Source organism: Homo sapiens, chromosome 10 (assembly GCF_000001405.40).
Source record: "Homo sapiens chromosome 10, GRCh38.p14 Primary Assembly".
NCBI classification, from domain to species: domain Eukaryota; kingdom Metazoa; phylum Chordata; class Mammalia; order Primates; family Hominidae; genus Homo; species Homo sapiens.
In genome coordinates, this window is record NC_000010.11 from 35,029,115 (window position 1) to 35,047,770 (window position 18,656).

Genomic DNA, 18,656 nt, shown 5'->3' on the forward strand with positions numbered 1-18,656 from the left:
TGGCACGATCTCCGCTCACTGCAACCTCCGCCTCTGGGGTTCAAGCAATTCTCCTGCCTCTGCCTCCCCAGTAACTGGGATTACAGGCACGCACCACCACACCTGGCTAATTTTTGCATTTTTAGTAGAGACGGGTTTTCACATGTTGGCCAGGCTGGTCTGGAACTCCTGAGCTCAAGAGATCTGCCTGCTTTGGCCTCTGAAAGTGCTGGGATTACAGGCATAAGCCACCACGCCCAGCCCAAATCAATAGGACTTTAGAAGCCACAATCTACTCACAGAACCAAACGTAATCAGGCATCCATTTATGAATCATTTGTATCAACGTACTGAAATGATTAGTAAATGCTCATAGTAAAACACATATTCATACCTGTAGAACATATATTTGAAAACTAATTCCCAAATCTATTACTGTGTCTTGGTTTTTGATAAAATTGTTGAACTTATTGTTGAGATCAGCGCTGACACTCATATCTGTATACATCCGATGTAGCTTGCTGGTAAACTCATAACCACAGGCTTGCTATAAAAAAGTTTTAGAAAATACATGAATTCAAAAGAAAAATAATAAGTCATATTGGTTAATAATAATGTGTCGGTATTGCTAGGTCTTTGATCAAAGGTTCTTGCATATACACTTATACCCAAGGACTAGTAATATATTCTTCATAAGTCAAAGCAACTAATCAAAACCTTTCAAACTTTCTTTTTAAAGACGTATTTTAAATAAGTGAATAAAAACCACCTATCTAGGAACAATAAATCTCCCCTTAAACAAAAACTTTTTTATACATTCATCTCTTATTTCAGCACTGCAAAATGCCCCGTTACTATACATAAGATACCTTAAAAGGATTTTATGTTGTGTTTTGTTTTAAAGACTTGGGGTCTCACTGTTGCCCATGCTGCAACGCAGTGGCTATTCATTGGAGCCATCATGGTGCACTACAACTTCGAACACCTGGGCTCAAGTGATCCTCCTATCTCACTCTCCCAGTAGCTGGGACTATTGGCACATGCCACAGCTGCTGGCTCTTATAAGGTTTACAGATAGTATCAAATGAAAGATTACATAAATGATTACTGGGAATACTCCAGCCTGTAGTCAATTGAAAAAGTTCTATTTAGGCATATTTTTAATAGCATCTACTGAGTGCTGAAGAAAACTATTTCTTTAAAATTATTCAAAATTCTGTTGTTACCAGGTCAGAAAATCTGAATCTCTAATCTTGAAATATAAAAAGCTCATTAACACTACTTTTTTTTTGTAATTAATCTATTTAGAGGCAGGATCTTGCTCTGTCACTCAGGATGGAGTGCAGTGGTATGATCATGGCTCACAGCAGCCTTGATGTCCCAGGCTCCAGCAATCCTCCCACCTCAGCCACCTGAGTAACTGGGACTAGAGGAACACGCCACCAAGCCCAGCTAACTTTTGTATTTTTGGTAGAGACAGGGTTTTGCCATGTTTCCCAGGCTGGTCTTGAACTACTGAGCTCAAACAATCTACATGCCTTGGCCTCCCAAAGTGCTACTATTATAGGCATGAACCACCACACCTGGCCAACACTACTTTTAGAAATTAAAAATTAAGTTTCTTTTTGGAGGTTTAAAAAAGAGCACACAGCAACTGGGTGCAGTGGTGCACACCTATTGTCCCAGCTGCTCAGGAGGCTGAGGCGGGAGGATCGCTTGAGCCCAGGAGTTAGAGTCCAGCCTGGGCAACATAGTGAGACCCTATCTCTTAAAAAAAGAAAAAGGAAAAAAGGAATGCATATTATATTCAAAATGTCTACTATGCAAGAAAATTTATTGAATAACACAGGATAAATATGAACCTGCTACCACTTATCGGTATGTAAGCAAGCTGAAATGATGTAAAAATAAATTGAAATGGAATTGCACTCCAAAATCTGTACTTAAAGGAATATTTTAGGTGTATTCATTTATAAGTAGTAATAATCTTTTATCATTAATACTGATTATCTTGTGAATCTTCATATATAAACATATACATTTTGTCCTTTTAATACAGTATTTGTATATCCCACTGTGTGACTACACAAATACACATTTAACCAGATGAATTGTTTCCTGTTACTGTACACAATGCTGCAATGAACATCTTTATGTGCTTGTGAATGAATTTCTAGGACAATACCACATTAAAGACTTACATTACCTTTAATTTGTTGATCATGGCTTCTTCAGAGTCCATAGACATGGATAACCCATGAATTAAACGTTTTGCCAGCATTCTTGCGTAGAACTACATTTAAAAATATTTTAAAAGATTACTTCCTTTCTAATGATTTAGCATTCAGAAATAAAGTTGACCAAAATACAAATGAAACTTTTCTGTTCACAACATACCTTTTGAAAGACGTCCTTGTCATCAATGTATTTGAACACTGTGATGAAGCTCGTGAGCCTGTCTTCCACTTCATTCTCTGTCATCCCTTTCGCTGACTTCTTCAGTAAGTTGTCACAGTACTTAGCAAGCTCATGTAGAAATTGATAATAAATCTTACAAAGGGTGCTTCTGTATATATCACGCCTCAAAGGAGGCAAAGTGGTGATACAAGGTAAGATCAGCGGACAGAATTTTTGCTGTTTTTTTTAGAGACCGGGTCTTGCTCTGTTGCCAGGCTGGATTGCAGTGGACAAGATCATAGCTCACTGCAGCCTCAAACTCCTAGGCTCAAAGGATCCTCCTGCCTCAGCCTCCCAAGTAGTTGGGACTACAGGCATGCACAACCACACCAGGCTTCTAAAGCTTTATGTAATAATCATAAATGTAAACTAAATAAAATATACATCATAAGGTAAATTTTTAAAAAGAACAAGTCAAATATCAAATCATCACTTATTGACCAATAAAGCAACTGATATAAGTAATACAAATTTTTAAAAGAACACCTAGGTGAGTTTCGAGTGGTTTTATAATTTTTGACATTGAACAAGTACTTTAAAAAAAAGTTACAAAAATCTTGTAAGCAAGTTTCCTTCAAAGGTTACCCAAACTTTATCATCAGATTTCCTTTAGATTTCAGATGTAACAGAATCTACATGAAAAGTATTGCAAATTATTTCAAAGTAGATATACATTAAAACCCAAACTTTGTAAAATGGTTATTCTTTAAGACACATAGTATATTGCATTCCTTACATAAATGCCAAACTATATACAATGTAGATAATTTTCCTTCTATTTTTCTGAAAAATGCTACAAAAACCAAATTAATTTGATATTCTGAGTTCTCATTTTCTAATACTGACTTTTCATAAGATTACTTTTCAGCAACCACCAAACTTACCAGTTCAGGTGCTTTGCAAACAGACTTAGGTTCTCTGTAATTTACAACTGACGTAAGGGCCTGAATAAAAAAACACGCCATAATTAACCACCAGCCATAGGGAAAAAGTACAGCTAGTTCAATATAAGCCATAATCTGTACATCCAAAAATTACCCCGCCACATAAAACACAGCATTGCCGGTAGTTTGTTAATATTTTCATGCCTAACATGGTAGACTCCTCTGACTTTATTCTCTAATTACAAAATATCTATATATCCTGTTGCTATTCCAAGATATTCTGTAACTCATTATCGAAATTTGAACAGATAAAATAACGTTACTTAAAAAAAAACTTACAATCTTGTAAGCAGCTTTCCTTTAACGTATGCAAAAGTTCATGTAAAACATATCTATTCTCTTTTCAAATATTATTCAATATAGCCTAAGTATTATGGCCAAAGAAAAAAAATCAGTACTAAAAATTGCAAAATTATGCATGTCTATCCAGAACATATCAGATTAAAAATTCCCCTTATATAGCATAATCACGGGACATTCTACAAGCATTCAATTTAACTATTCAGTTAATAATTTAAAAATTATATTATTTCTATTTTGAATTTCATATCAAAATTACTTAATCTCCATGTCTACATCAGAAACCTCATACTAGAATTCTGATCTTGAAACTGCCTAAAGAATGATAGAGTTTTATGTACATATATAGTATATATGTATTTAAAACTTACCTTATCCAACGCACTCATAAAATGCTGATCACCATTCAAAACAGTGTTGATAAGCTGAACAAATTTACCATGCACTTCCAAAACTGACTCCACAAATAGTGTTGGCATCTAAAAATGAAATATAAGTACAAAACCACATTTTAAGAGGTTCAAGGATATCCAAACTATGAGGTTTATTAGACTTATTAGTAAATTTTTCCTCAAGGAAATTATGTTTCACACATGCACACTTCTCAGAAAATGGTTTTAGCTAAGACGGTCTTAGAAATTTACAACTTTGGTGTTGAAGGCTGGGCACAGTGGCTCACACCTGTAATCCCAGCACTTCTGGGAGGCTGAGGCGGGCGGATCATGAGGTCAGGAGATCGAGACCATCCTGGCCAACACGGTGAAACCCCGTCTCTACTAAAAATACAAAAAAATTAGCCAGACGTGGTGGCGTCCACCTGTAATCCCAGCTACACGGGAGGCTGAGGCAGGGGAACTGCTGGAACCAGGGAGGTGGAGGTTGCAGTGAGCAGAGATCGCACCACTGCACTCCAGCTTGGGCGACAGAGTGAGACTCCGTCTCAGAAAAACAACAACAACAACAAAAAAAAAAAAAAAGGAAGAAAGAAAATAGCTTGTCATTCAACACAACAAGCTGTCATAGACTGTCTAGTACCTGTCAGAAGAACCCACCAAAAGCATACTTTTCTACTGTGTTGGAATAACTTATCTTAAGGATAACAAGACCTGAACTACCAGGTCTATCACTTTCATAGAGGCTTAAATAAGCAAAGACTGCCTGCAAAGTCACTAAAGGCTGAGAGAAAGGAGAGTTAAAAAGCCAATAATCCTGAGAACAGAGACCCCTTGAACTCGGCAAGACAATCCCTCACATCTCAGAGAGAAGAAATACCTAATAGTACAAAAGTGAGTTTTCCCTCTTAATGGAGATAACCATGAAGAAGTTACTACCTAAGACTTAACTAAGTCAGTTGGATTTGAGTCTACCACAAATGTATTCACTTATGTTTCCATCTCCCAGCCTTGACACAAAATTCGATGCTTCTATGCCCAATGTCATTGGACATGGAATCTATAAACGTAATAATGTAAACTAGTAAGTTTGACAAATAATAGAGTAATAAACCTGAATACTATAAACTAATAGTTCTACAAAAAATAGAAAACTGTGGTAAAGGGAATTTGAAGAAATAAAAAAATAGAAAACTTACACATTATTGTGGCATAACATAAAAACTAAAAATTATTACTTGCCAAAAACCAATCTGCAGCTAAGGTAACAGCCTCTAAAAAGTGCTCCTGAACAGTGACGTCTATACACAGATACTATCTTATAGATGAAGGGCAAACAGCTCTACTTAAGAAGAGACAGTAACATTTGAAGTTATTTCTCTCTTGCTCATCAAACATTACCAGTAATAACAAGATTTGGTGATGGGAAAGACAAACTGTTACAGTACAAACTGTTACAGTCATGTGATTGGCAAAGTATTCGAGAAAGATGAGTATTAGGGATATGAGGGTTATTGTTTTGGGTATTTGGGGCAGCAAGCATATACTTACAGAAGATTATTTTAATCTAAATTTGCTTCCTGGACAACCAAATTCAGAGGATATGGAAAGGAGGCAAATTGCAAGTCGTCTATATTACCACTGATTAATACTACTACCATGACAACAAACTACGTTATCAATGCCAATTACACAAAAACACAGTTATTTAAAAATGGCGAGCTTATTTTCCTGTGGAAAGTTAACAACTGTTCAATGGACACCCTCCGTATGGCTAAGCAGCAGCCTATCAATAGCTTTCTAATAATCTGATAATTCCAAAATGAGTCCAACAAATTCTAGGTTTAAAACATTTGAATAAAGACATTTCTTTCGTTGGCATGGTAAGACTTTTTCTTTCATCTTTCAAAACAATAAAGTCAAAGGAAAGGCTCCACGCTGGATCTGATTAGGAGGAAAACATTGCAGTTTCCCACACAACTCACGTTTTCCTGAGTAAGGTTGCTGGTTGCTCGAAGGCCCTCATCATGGATGTGGTTTTGCAGCTCCTGAATCATATGAGGTAAACCAGTGGACACAGCACGGAGTAAGACGTACATATTTGCCATGTCTGAGAGGAAAAAGACATCTGAGGGTTAACTCCCAAATATTTTCATTTATTAGGTAATATATGGATCCAAGTGCAGGAGTACAATATACGGATCCAAGTGCAGAGCACCCAGAGAAAAGTCCCCCATGCCCACCTCCCAGCCACCCAAGCCCCTCTCCCCACAGGAAAGGGATGTGGTTATTTAACATCTTCCCAAAGATATTTTGTGCAAATTCAAGTGAATACATATATTCTTCCCTTTGCCCCTTTTAATACAGTGTACTGTATTTTGTATATTATTTGTAGCTTCAGAACACATTTTAACTTAGTGGTCTTTTCCTATCAGTACACAAAGCATTTCTATGTATTTTACAGCTGCACAGTACTCCATTATGTGGATATAATTTCTTAACAACTGATGGAAATTTAGGTGGTTTCCAGTCTCTTGATATTGCAATGTTGCAATCAATAATCTTATACATGAGCAAGAATATATGCAATATAAGTTCCCAAAAGTGAGGTTACTGTGTCAAAGTTTAATCTTGTAGACAGATCCTTCTAACCACAGCTGCCAACAGCAGAGAGTTCCTTTGCCAACAATGTGTTGCCAAATGTTTTGATCTCTAACACTGGGAGGTGAATAATGATCTCTCAGTGTAGTAGGTTTAATTTTAAACGTTTCATTAAAGCATCATACATATACAGAAAAGTATACAAACCATAAGTGTATATCTTACTGAATTATCACAAGTGAACACACAACACACCCATGTAATCACACGCAGGATAAGAAACAGGCATTACCTACACCCAGGAGTCCCCTTCATGCCTCCTTCCAATCACACACTCTTGCTCCTCTGCAAAGGTAACCACTGCTGTGACTTCTAAATCACAGATGAGTTTGAACTACGTATAAAAATGGGATCACACAATTCTTTCGTGTCTGGCTTCTTGTGTTCAACATGTGTATAAGGATCATCTATGTTGTTGTGCATGGCTTTAATTTGTTCATTTCCACTCCTCTATAATATTCCATTGTATGAATATACTGTACTATTCTACAGTAACTGGACATTTGAGCTGTTCCAGTTTATGGAGCTATTACAAACACTACTATGAACATTCCTGTATGTCTTTTTGTATATATGTCCAGGCATTGGCAGTGGGGAGGTAAAGCTGGGGGGTGGTTATATGTTTAGGAGAACTGCTGGATCATAAAATATGCATAATATATCCCACTTAGCGGTCAGTGCCAGTTTCCCAAAGTAGTTGCATCAATTTATACTCTCACTTCAGTGTTCAACAAGTTCCTGCTACTTCACACTTCTTTCTATGTTTATTGGCCATCTGGGTATCTTCTATTCTGCAGTGCCTGTTTTTTGAGCATTTTATATTTTGGATATAAATCTTTAGTATTGCAGGTACATTACCCTATAACTGTCTTCTGATGATCCAGTGGTTTTAATGGCTTTTTTTGAGACAGGGTCTTACTCTGTCACCCAGGCTGGAGTGCAGTGGCAGGATCTCGGCTCACTGCAACCACCACCTCCCAGATTCAAGTGATCCTCCCACCTCAGCCTCCCAAGTAGATGGGACCACAGGTGCACACCACCCCGCCTGGCTAATGCTTGTATTTTTTTGCAGAGATGGGATACTGTCATGTTGCCCAGGCTGGTCTTGTACTCCTGAGCTCAAGCAATCTTCCTCCCTCTTAATGGCCTTTTAATAATCCAAAGTTTTTCATTTTAATGTAGTTCACTGGATCAATCGTTCCTTTGTGGTTAGGGCTTTTTGTGTCCTATTTAAAATATCTTTCCCTGTCTCAAGGTTATGAAGATATTCTTCTATATTATCTTCTAGAAGTGTTATTTTTTTACCTTGTACATTTAGAGAAAAAACTCAATAGTGAATTGATTTTGTATATGGTATCTTGAGGTAGTGATCAAATTTCATTTTCTTCTGAAATGGATATCCAATTGACTGAGCAATGCGTGTTGAAAAGACCATCTTTTACCTGCCGCTCTGCAGCGCCACCTTGGTCTTACATCAAGTGGCCACATATGCTTGGGTTGTTTCTAGGATCTCTTATTTTATTAGGATATCTGTCTGTCCTTGTACCAATGCCTCACTGTCTTAATTACTATAGGTTTTACAATAAGTCTTGCTGGTCATTAAAGTCTTTCCATCATACTCTTCAAGACAGTGACTTTCGGAATTAAAATGAAATTATTGGGTTTTGACTACATTGCCCTGGATCTATGAAATTAATGTTGCTGTAAAAAACACGGGGCCAAGGGTGGTGGCTCGTGTCTATAATCCCAGCACTTTGGGAGGCCAAGGCAGGTGGATCACGAGCTCAGGAGTTCGAGACCAGCCGGCCAACATAGTGAAACCTCGTCTCTACTAAAAATACAAAAATTAGCCAGGTGTGGGGGCGGATGCCTGTAGTCCCAGCTACTCAGGAGGCTGAGGCAGGAGAATCGCTTGAACCCAGGAGGCAGAGGTTATAGTGAACAGAGATCGCGCCACTGCATTATAGCCTGGGCCACAGAGCGGGACTCCGTCTCAAAAAACAAAAACAAAAAGCCTGATTAATGGCCGGGCGCGGTGACTCACACCTGTAATCCCAGCACTTCGGGAGGCCGGGGCAAGCAGATTATCTGAGGTCAGGAGCTCAAGACCAGGAGGCCAACATGGTGACACCCCGTCTCTACTAAAAATACAAAAATTAGCTGGATGTGATGGCACACACCTGCAATCCCAGCTACTTGGGAGGCTGAGGCAGAATTGCTTGAACCTGGGAGGCAGGGGTTGCAATGAGCCAAGATCATGCCATTGCACTCCAGCCTGGGCGACGGAGCGAGACTCCATCTCAAAAAAATTAATTAATTAAATAAAATATACATATTTATTATCTTTCCTGCCTATAAAAGTAATGCATGTTTTTTGTTTTTTTAAAAATCAGAGAGGCCGGGCGCAGTGGCTCACGCCTGTAATCCCAGCACTTTGGGAGGCTGAGGCGGGCGGACCACAAGGTCAGGAGTCCGAGACCAGCCTGACCAACATGGTGAAACCCTGTCTCTACTAAAAGTACAAAAAAATTAGCCAGGTGTGGTGATGAGCGCCTGTAATCCCAGCTACTCAGGAGTCTGAGGCAGGAGAATCACTTGAATCTGGGAGGCGGAGGTTGCAGCGAGCCAAGAGCACGCCGCTGCACTCCAGCCTGGGCGACAGAGTGAGACTCTGTCTCAAAAAAAAAAAAAAAAAAAAAAAAATCAGATATAGCTGATTTTTTATATTATATAAATTATTACATTTATTACATAATATTTGTATTTCCTTTTTATAGTCTTTGCCTTTATTCCTACTGTTTATCAGGAATTCTAAATGCATTAAGGAAATTAGCTCTTGTAATATATAAAAATGTATAAACACAATTTCCCACTTTTTCTTCTGATTTTAGAACACTCTGAAAACACTTTCCTAAAATAGTCTTTCAAAATAAAGTATTAATAATCTGTAAAAGGTTATTTAAAATATTTTAAAGACTATTACTAAAATAGGCATTAAATCAAGGGTGACTAGAGGATGATATAAAAGGTGGATTTATAATTTAATTTCTACTCATGTTTGGTGTCACTTACCATTTTTTTTCTCTTGTCGAATTATATTATGACATTCTGCATGTAAAAACTGTAAGTGGTCTGCTACCATTCGTTGTTGACATTCATGAATCACCTTAGTATATGAACTTGGATGTAGGTATTTTCGACATCGAATTTCTTCATCTTTTAATCTACCTAGAACCTATAAAAATATTTTCTTACAGTCATGAACACAAAGTTTTACTATGAGGAAAAATCTGTAATATCAGCAAGTAACTCAGCCAAATTTTAATGGCTGAATTAAACATGGCAAAGGTAATAAGGGTTACATAAGCAATTTAAACCCACATTCTATAAATCATTTCAAATTTTTATTTAAGCTACTAGCTGTCATCTACATTCCACCAGTCTTATAAGCAAGAACTAAAGTTAAATAGTCTGCATTTTGTCTTCATTTACCTACACCATTCATCCTATTACATGGACAACATAACATGTAACAGGAAAAGTGGGTACAGATGATTAAATTCAGAACAGGTGATCTCTGTTATGAATAACTATCAAACTAAAAAATAAATTATATTGAAATCAAGTAGATGAATCTAATTATTTTACGTTGGTTTCTCTTCTTGTAAATGGAACTGTATGTGCATGATAGTTAACTACCATATTAAAGATTTAATTAAAATTTTTGAAAGTAGGGGCTGGACATGGTGGCTCACACCTGTAATCCCAGTACTTTGGGAGGCCAAGGCAGGTGGATCATCTGAGGTCAGGAGTTTGAGACCAGCATGGCCAATATGGCGAAACCCTGTCTCTACTAAAAATATAAAAATTAGCCGGGCATGCCTGTAATCCCAGCTCCTTGGGAGGCCAGGGCAAGAGAATCACTTCATCCCGGGAGGTGGGGGTTGTAACGAGCCAAGATCGCACCACTGCACTCCAGCCTGTGTGACAGAGTGAGACACTGTCTCAAAAAAATAAAAATAAGGCCAGGCAAGGTGGCTCATGCCTGCAATCCCAGCACTTTGGGAGGCCGAGGTGGGTGGATCACATGAGGTCAGGAGTTTGAGACCAGCCTGGCCAACATGGTGAAACCCCGTCTCTACAAAAATACAAAAAATTAGCCAGGTGTGGTGGCAGGTGCCTGTAGCACCAGCTACTCGGGAGGCTGAGGCAGAAGAACTGCTTGAACCCAGGAGGAGGAGGTTGCAGTGAGCCGACATCACGCCACTGCACTCTAGCCTAGGCAATAAGAGCGAGGCTCTGTCTCAAAAAATAAATATAAATAAAAAATAAAAAATTTGAAAGTAAATATAATTTAGTCATAGTCAAGTATGTCAATCAAGACTTTTATTAAAGTTTATCCTACATAAAGCGCTGAGCTACAAATAACACTGGTTAATATCAACAAGAACTAGCCCATAAGGAAAATAACCAAAGAATTTGACTAATTTCTGTCTCAAGACAAAACAACAACATATACACAGACAAATGCACCGGCTTGGAAACACTCTGGAACATAAAGCTGTGTAATTAGAGTTTCTGAAATTAAGTGTTCCCGGGGAACTACATACACCTGGCACTTTGGAGAGTGCTGCTGAGTTGGCCTGGGCACAAGGAGTGAAAATCATTCCTGGAAAGCGGATCAGAAATTTTCAATAAAAATGAGGCTCCAGACAGTAGGTTCCCACAGTCCTGTCTTTCCTATTGTGCGACCCTTTGAAGCCAGGAGTTCAGGGCAAAGTCACAGACTCAGGTCGGGCAAGAAGGGGTCTAGAGCAGCAGTCCCTAACCTTTTAGGCACCAGGCTCTGCTTTTGTGGAAGACAATTTTTCCACAGACGGAGTGCGGGCGGCATTGGTGGGGGCAGGTGGCTTCCAGGTGAAGTATTCCACCTCAGATCCTCAGGCATTAGATTCTTCTAAAGAGCGCACATCCTAGACCCCTTGCATGCAGAGTTCACAATGGAGTTTGCGCTCTGTGAGAATCTATGAGAATCTAATGCTGCTGCTGATGTGACAGGAGGCGGAGCTCAGGCAGTAGGTAATGCTCACACAGTGGCTGCTCACTCCCTGCTGTGCAGCCCGGTTCCTCCTAACAGGCCACAGGTCAGTACTGGTCCTCCCCAGTTCCTAACAGGCCACAGGTCAGTACTGGTCCTCAGCCTGAGGGTCAGGGACCCCTGGTCTAGAGGACAAAAGTGTTCACCACATATTACATCAGCTAAGAAAGGCACTTTGATTAACAATAAATCCTTTAAGGGCTATTTTTATAACAAAAAGGATTAAGTCTATTAGTCATTCAGAGCATACTATAGTGACTTTAATCTGCTTGCCAAGTTAATGCAACAGGAATTACAGTGGGTCTGAGAGAGGTGAAGGAGGATGGAAGAAGGAAAAAATAAAACAATGATAACTTGGGAGAGAGAGGCGCATATCAAGAGAAATGTAGAGAAGGTTGGACTGCCCCAGTGCAGGGCTTCAAACAGCTGTAAAACCCCTGGGGGAAAGAAAGGCCAAAGCTATAAGAGGAACGCAGCAAGGAGGCAGGAAGGCTGTACTGACTCATTCCCCAATTAACTAAATGGAGAGCAAAGCCCAGGGTTTTGCCCTTGAAGCTAATATGGTCCAACATTATTTCCTGAAATGAGCTTTTCTTTTTCTTTCTTTTGTCAGACAGGATCTCGCTCTCTGGCCCAGGCAGGAGGGCAGTGGTGCAATCTCGGCTCACTGCAACTTCCGCCTCTCAGGCTCAAGTGATCTTCCCACCTCAGCGTCCCAAGAGCTATGACCAGACGACTACACCACCATGTGTGGCTAGTTTTTTAATTTTTTGTAGAGATGGGGTTTTGCCACGTTGCCCAGGCTTGTCCTGAACTCCTGGACTTGCGTAATCTGCCCGCCTCAGCCTCCCAAAGTGCTGCAATTACAGGTCTGAGCCACCGTGCCCAGCCTGAAATAAGCTTTTCTAATAAACATTCTTTTCCAAACATAATTTATTCCAATGTCCCTCCTTCCCTTTTAACACCTTGAGATGTAATTTACATATTAAATAATTCACCCATTTAAAGTGTGCAATTCAATGGTTTTGGTATATTACATTATCAATGTTTTTAAATTGTGGTAAAAACATAGATAATAAAATTTACATTAGCCATTTTTATGTGGGCAATTCAGTGGCATTAAATAACGCTCACTATGTTGTGTAATCACCCCCATTGTCTACTTCCAAATATTTTTCATTACCCCATCAGAAACTTTATAACCATTAAGTAACAACTCCTCACATCCTCCTCCCCTGATAACCTCTAATCTATCTTCTGTCCTTTTGAATTTGTCTGTTCTAGATATTTCCTATAAATTGAACCACAGAATATTTGCCCTTTTGTGTCTGTCTTTTTCCACTTAGCATAACATTTTCATGGTTCATCCATGTTGTATCATGTATAACTTCAATTCTTTTTAAAGACTGTGTGGTGTTGTGATATGTAAGTACATTGGTTTTCATCTGTGGTTCCTGGTTCATAACTCCCTTAGCCCTAGTTACAGTCTTTAGTTATAATGTTGAGTGTGTTAGGTCTCAGGAAACAGAATTTCTCTCCTACTCTCCTTTCACCTGCCTCAAGGCAGGACTCTAATCTTGCCCTACCTTTCTGACTGTGGGTCATAAGACCCTCCCCAGAGAAAGCCCCACCCTGTACGCTGGGGGAAAGACTACTGACATCATGAAGCTTCCACAAAAATCCAAGAAGACTGGGTTCCACAGGGATAGAAGCTCCTGCACTCATGGTGATTTCAGACCTTCCCTTATGTGTCTCCTCAAGTGGTTGTTTATTTGTATCCTCTAAAATATCCTTCTTAATGAACTAGTAAACATTAAGTGAGTGTTTCCCTAAGTTCTGTGAGCTGCTCTAGCAAATTAATGGAACCCAAACAGTGTACTGTAGGACTTCAACTTGAAAGCCAGTCGGTCAGTAGTCCGGAGGCCCAGACTTGTGACTGGTGTCTGGGGGTGTGCAGGGCAGTCTTGGAGACTCAGTCCCCAAACTGTGGGATTAGCCACTATCTCAAGTAGATGGTGTTAGAGTTGAACTGGAGGACACCTAGCTGGTGTCTGCTGCTTGGTGTGTGGGAGAAGAGAGCCACACCTTTGTTTACAGAAGCCTTCTGTGCTGATGATTGTTGCTGTGGTGTGAGAGTAGAGGAAAAACATGGTTTGAGAGAGTTTTTCACTACACACGATGAATAATATTCCAATGCACATATGTATCACATTTTGCTTATTCTTTCAACTTCTAACAGACATCTGGGCTACTGCCACCACTTGCCAGTGGCATATTTTTGACAGCCAGACAGAGCAAAGTGCATGTATCACAGATAATCTGTGTGTGATTCTTGGGGCTGGATCTAGAGGCTTCAACAAAAGTCTAAGGTGCAATAAGGGCTAAGAGCTTAGAACCACTGATCTAGTGTAACCTGAACTTAATTGATGGGGGAAAAGTTCCAGATAATTTGCTCAGGGGACAGAGCTAACTAGTAAGAAAAGCAGGAAGATAATCAAACAACTAAGACCTCTAGATCTGGGCTTTGTGGATGACACAACAGTGTATCGGTAAGCACGGATGCTTTGTGACTTGTGGCCTAGGGATGTAGGATGACAGCTCACCCACTTAAACTACTCGACCTTTCTTGGCTACATAAACTAACACAAACCATCCCAAAATAAAATGCTTGAAATCCAACACTGCAGATTTAAAAACCTGGCTAGAAGTTCTAATATATCTTACATATGGTGGTTTAATTTGTATGAACACTTTTTTCTTCTACTACTGAGAAAATAAACATGGGATTTAACATATGATAACCAATATGTACTGGTTTAGTGATCAATTAAAATTTCTTGGCTGGGTGCAATGGCTCACATCTAAAATCCCAGCGCTTTGGGAGGCTGAGGCAGGAGGACTGCTCAAGTTGAGGAGTTCTGAGACCAGCCTGGGCAACACAGCAAGACCCCATCTCTATAACAAATTTTAAAAGTTGCTGGGCGTGGTGGTGTGTGCCTGTAGTCCCAGCTACTTCGTAGGCTGAGACAGGAGGACCACTTGAGCCTGGGAGCCATGATCAAGCCACTGCACTCTAGTCTGGGCACCAGAGCAAGACCACATCTCCAAAAAAAAAAAAAAAAAAAAAAAACACCTCACGTGGGGTTGTCTCTCAGCCTTTCAAGAACTTAACAGACCAAAAGAGTGACTCATCCAAATGTCTAGAATTACTATATTTTCCTCATATTTTTCCTCTCATTTTAAAGGAAGAAAAAAACCTCAACACAGAGCTTCTGCACTTATCCTATTCTCTAAACTAACCACTAAGCATGAAATCCAGTATAAACTGATTATTCTGCCAAGAATGTGCATATATATTAATTTCAAGGACAAGTAAACCAAGCAGTCAGGATTTATCAAAAAGCATCAATTATGATGAAAACTGGAAGGGTATTGTAAAGAGCAATGACTTATCAATCGATATTATATAATAACTGTAACTCAGAGTTAATGATTAAATAGATTAAATAAACAGAATATTTTTCCACCAAGAAACAAAACAAGAAAACTAAGAACGATGTTAAATAAAACCAGGCCAGATACAAAATAGATAAATGTATTCGATATGTTTTATTTCTTACCTTTTCCATATACTGTGAGCAGTTTGATTCTTGTAATAAATTTGAAGCTTCTTGTTTGTAATACTCTCCTGTTTCAGTCAGAAAGGGAGACTCAAAAATTTCCTGATAAAACTGAATAAATCAATTACATCATATTAGAAGAAATTAGAACAAGCAGTTTAAGAAATTAACAGTCTGATTATTTGTTTTTAAAGGAGGCTGTTTACCTTTAAGGGGAATTTTTTCTTATACTGTTCAACATGAACAAAGGAGTTAATAACCCCATGGATTACTTTCTGGTTTGGGTCTTCTCCACCACGATCACTAAAACAAGGTATAACACAAAATATTCTTGAGAATACAAATTATCTATGGAAATATACCCAAAATATGCCAAAATATGGCTCCTTATTCTATTGGTCTAATCAAAGTGTAAAGAACTATAAAAAGGTACATGCATGAATCTTAACAATGATTTTTTTTATATCACAGCTGAGTTAATATTCATGATAGTTAATGTATACATTAGATGTCATTTCAAGAAATAAAAAGAAAACTGATTGTAAAGTTCAAGATACTATGTCAGTAATAAGATAACACTTCTTTAATTTTAACAAAGTAGATACGAGCCCATCAATTCAAAACTTTAATACTGGCGGTTAAGAATGCTTGATTTTCACTCACTACAAACTACAAAGTCTTAATCATATTAAGACATGTAGGTGAAATGTTAGCTTTTCTAATAAAAGGAATATGAAATAGAACCAGGCACCGTGGCTCGTGCCTGTAATCCCAACACTTTGGGAGGCCAAGGTGGGAGGATCCCTGAGTGCTGAATTTGTGAGCTGCCTGGGCAATAGAGCGAGACCTCATTCAAAAAAAAAATTAGCCATGCATGGTGGCACACACCTGTGGTCCCAGCTACTCTGGAGGCTGAGGTGGGATGATCCCTTGAGTCCTGAGTTTGAGACTAGCCTGGGCAACATAGCAAGACCCCATACAAAAAAAAAAAAAAAACAACTTAGCTGTGCATGGTGGCACATGCTTGTGGTCCCAGCTACTCTGGAGGCTGAGGTGGGAGGATCGTTTGAGCCCAGGAGGAGTCGAGGCTACAGTGAGCCACGATTGCACCACTGCACTCCAGCCTGGGTGACAGAGCAAGACCCTGTCTCAAAAATTAAAAAATAAAAATAAAAATAAAATAGAAAAAAAGTTTGCTTAAAGCCACAGTAAAATAATCTAGCTCTAAATTGGGATTTTGTGACTCTAGTACCAATGCTCAAATCAAACCATTATGGTTTACCTCACTACACACTCTTCCAACCTACTTTAAAATAATTTCTTCTTTGCATTAATAATGTCACAAAGAGAGCAACAGAAAACTTATTATCATCATTCCCTAGTAAGAGCTTGTTGCTCTATATATAGGATGTAAGAATTTTCTATCATTGAAGAAAAGCATCAAGGAAAAGCATCCAGGCAATTACCTTTACATACTAGAGTCCTTCCCTGCCTCTGAACCCCTCTAGTCCTCTTTGATTCTTCCTTTAATTATTTGGATATTCTGAGAACTATTTTTTGGACATGAATTAATATGGCTACAGTAATTCTGTCAGTCATAGAGAATCTTGATATCTTGATATCACTGACTAGTTCATATAATAAGGTCACACATGTGAGCTCATTTCCTTGGCTTGGGTCACATGCGTGACCTCACATAAGCCCACATTCAATCTGGTGAGATACTGATCTGAACTGTTACCTATTTTCTCATGTTCTGCTTATGGTGGAAGAACAGATACTGTGGAGGACATACTGGCAAAACTCTAAGTATACACACCCTATGACCCCAAGCAAACATCTACATATGTGTACAACAGAAACAAGAGTGGTGTTAGTGGAAAAACTGGAAGGAACCTAATATACGCCACTAGGAGAAGAGTTTAATAAAGTGAGGTAGGCCTCTCTAGTTTAAGTCTGAGTTCATCCTGGTAAAGTTTAAAAAGCTAACTGGTCACCTAAGGATGACAGCAAACCAACTCATTATCTTAAAAACTGGGTTATTGGCCAGGCGCAGTGGCTCACACTGGTAATCCCAGCACTTTAGGAGGCTGAGGTGGGCAGATCATCTGAGGTCGGGAGTTAGAGAGCAGCCTGGCCAACATGGTGAAATCCAGTCTCTACTAAAAATACAAAAATTAGCTGGGCATGGTGGCGCATGTCTATAATCCCAGCTGCTCAGGAGGCTGAGGTAGGAAAATTGGCTTGAACCTGGGAGGAGGAGGTTACAGTGAGCCAAGATCGTGCCACGGCATTCTAGCCTGGGCAACAGAGTGAGACTCTGTCTCAAAACAAAACAAAACAAAACAAAACAAAACAAAACAAAAACAAAAAACTGGGTTATTAAAAAGGAAAGAAACAAACAGTTATTTTGCTTTTCCTATATGAACTCTACCATTGGGTAACTAAACAGTAGGTGAGAAGAAGCATATCTTGATAAAATTTTCCAGGTAATAAAGAAGAACAAAATGATAGATGGCTCTAACAAGCAGCTCTATAATATGCTGACTAAATTACTAATTTCTTCATTTCCTTTAACTGACATTCCCACCTAGAAAACAATTTTAAATATCAGGAATTCTATTCACTGTAAAAGAAAGATGTGGCTCACATCAGAAACCCTACCTCAACCTCCATATTTGCTTAATTCTCTATGATAGTTCCTCAATTCTGTGAGTGAACACATTAGATTACAATAAAAAATAATTTGGTTAAAGATTTCTGGGCCAGGCGCAGTGGCTCACGCCTGTAATCCCAGCACTTTGGAAGGCCGAGGCGGGTGGATCACGAGGTCAGGAGATAGAGACCATCCTGGCTAAAACGGTGAAACCCCGTCTCCACTAAAAAAAAAAAAAAATAGCCGGGTGTGGTGGTGCGCGTCTGTAGTCCCAGCTACTCGGGAGGCTGAGGCAGAAGAATCGCTTGAACCCAGCAGGCAGAAGTTGCAATGAGCTAAGATCGTGCAATTGCACTCCAACCTGGGCAACAGAGCAAGACTGTCTCAAAAAAAAAAAAAAAATACAGGCATAAAGGCCGGGTGCGGTGGCTCACTCCTGTAATCCCCACACTTTTGGAGGCCGAGAAAGTTGGATCTCTTGAGGTAGGAGCTCGAGACCAACCTGGCCAACATGGTGAAAACCGGTCTCTACTAAAAATACAAAAATTA

At 39.2% G+C, this 18,656-nt stretch overlaps 1 protein-coding gene across 11 annotated transcripts in view; it reads right to left on the reverse strand.

The window, feature by feature from the left end:
* CUL2 (cullin 2) overlaps positions 1-18,656 on the reverse strand; it is a 118,456-nt gene that overhangs the window by 20,564 nt on the left and 79,236 nt on the right. For all 11 annotated transcript variants that reach the window (XM_011519745.2, XM_047425852.1, XM_011519743.1 and 8 more), the window contains 9 exons: positions 15,658-15,754; positions 15,452-15,562; positions 9,806-9,968; positions 6,058-6,182; positions 4,052-4,159; positions 3,321-3,380; positions 2,377-2,505; positions 2,186-2,272; positions 374-526 (listed from right to left, as the gene is read on the reverse strand). In XM_011519745.2, coding sequence (XP_011518047.1) covers positions 374-526; positions 2,186-2,272; positions 2,377-2,505; positions 3,321-3,380; positions 4,052-4,159; positions 6,058-6,182; positions 9,806-9,968; positions 15,452-15,562; positions 15,658-15,754 — 1,033 coding nt within the window. The remainder of the gene's footprint in view (positions 1-373; positions 527-2,185; positions 2,273-2,376; positions 2,506-3,320; positions 3,381-4,051; positions 4,160-6,057; positions 6,183-9,805; positions 9,969-15,451; positions 15,563-15,657; positions 15,755-18,656) is intronic.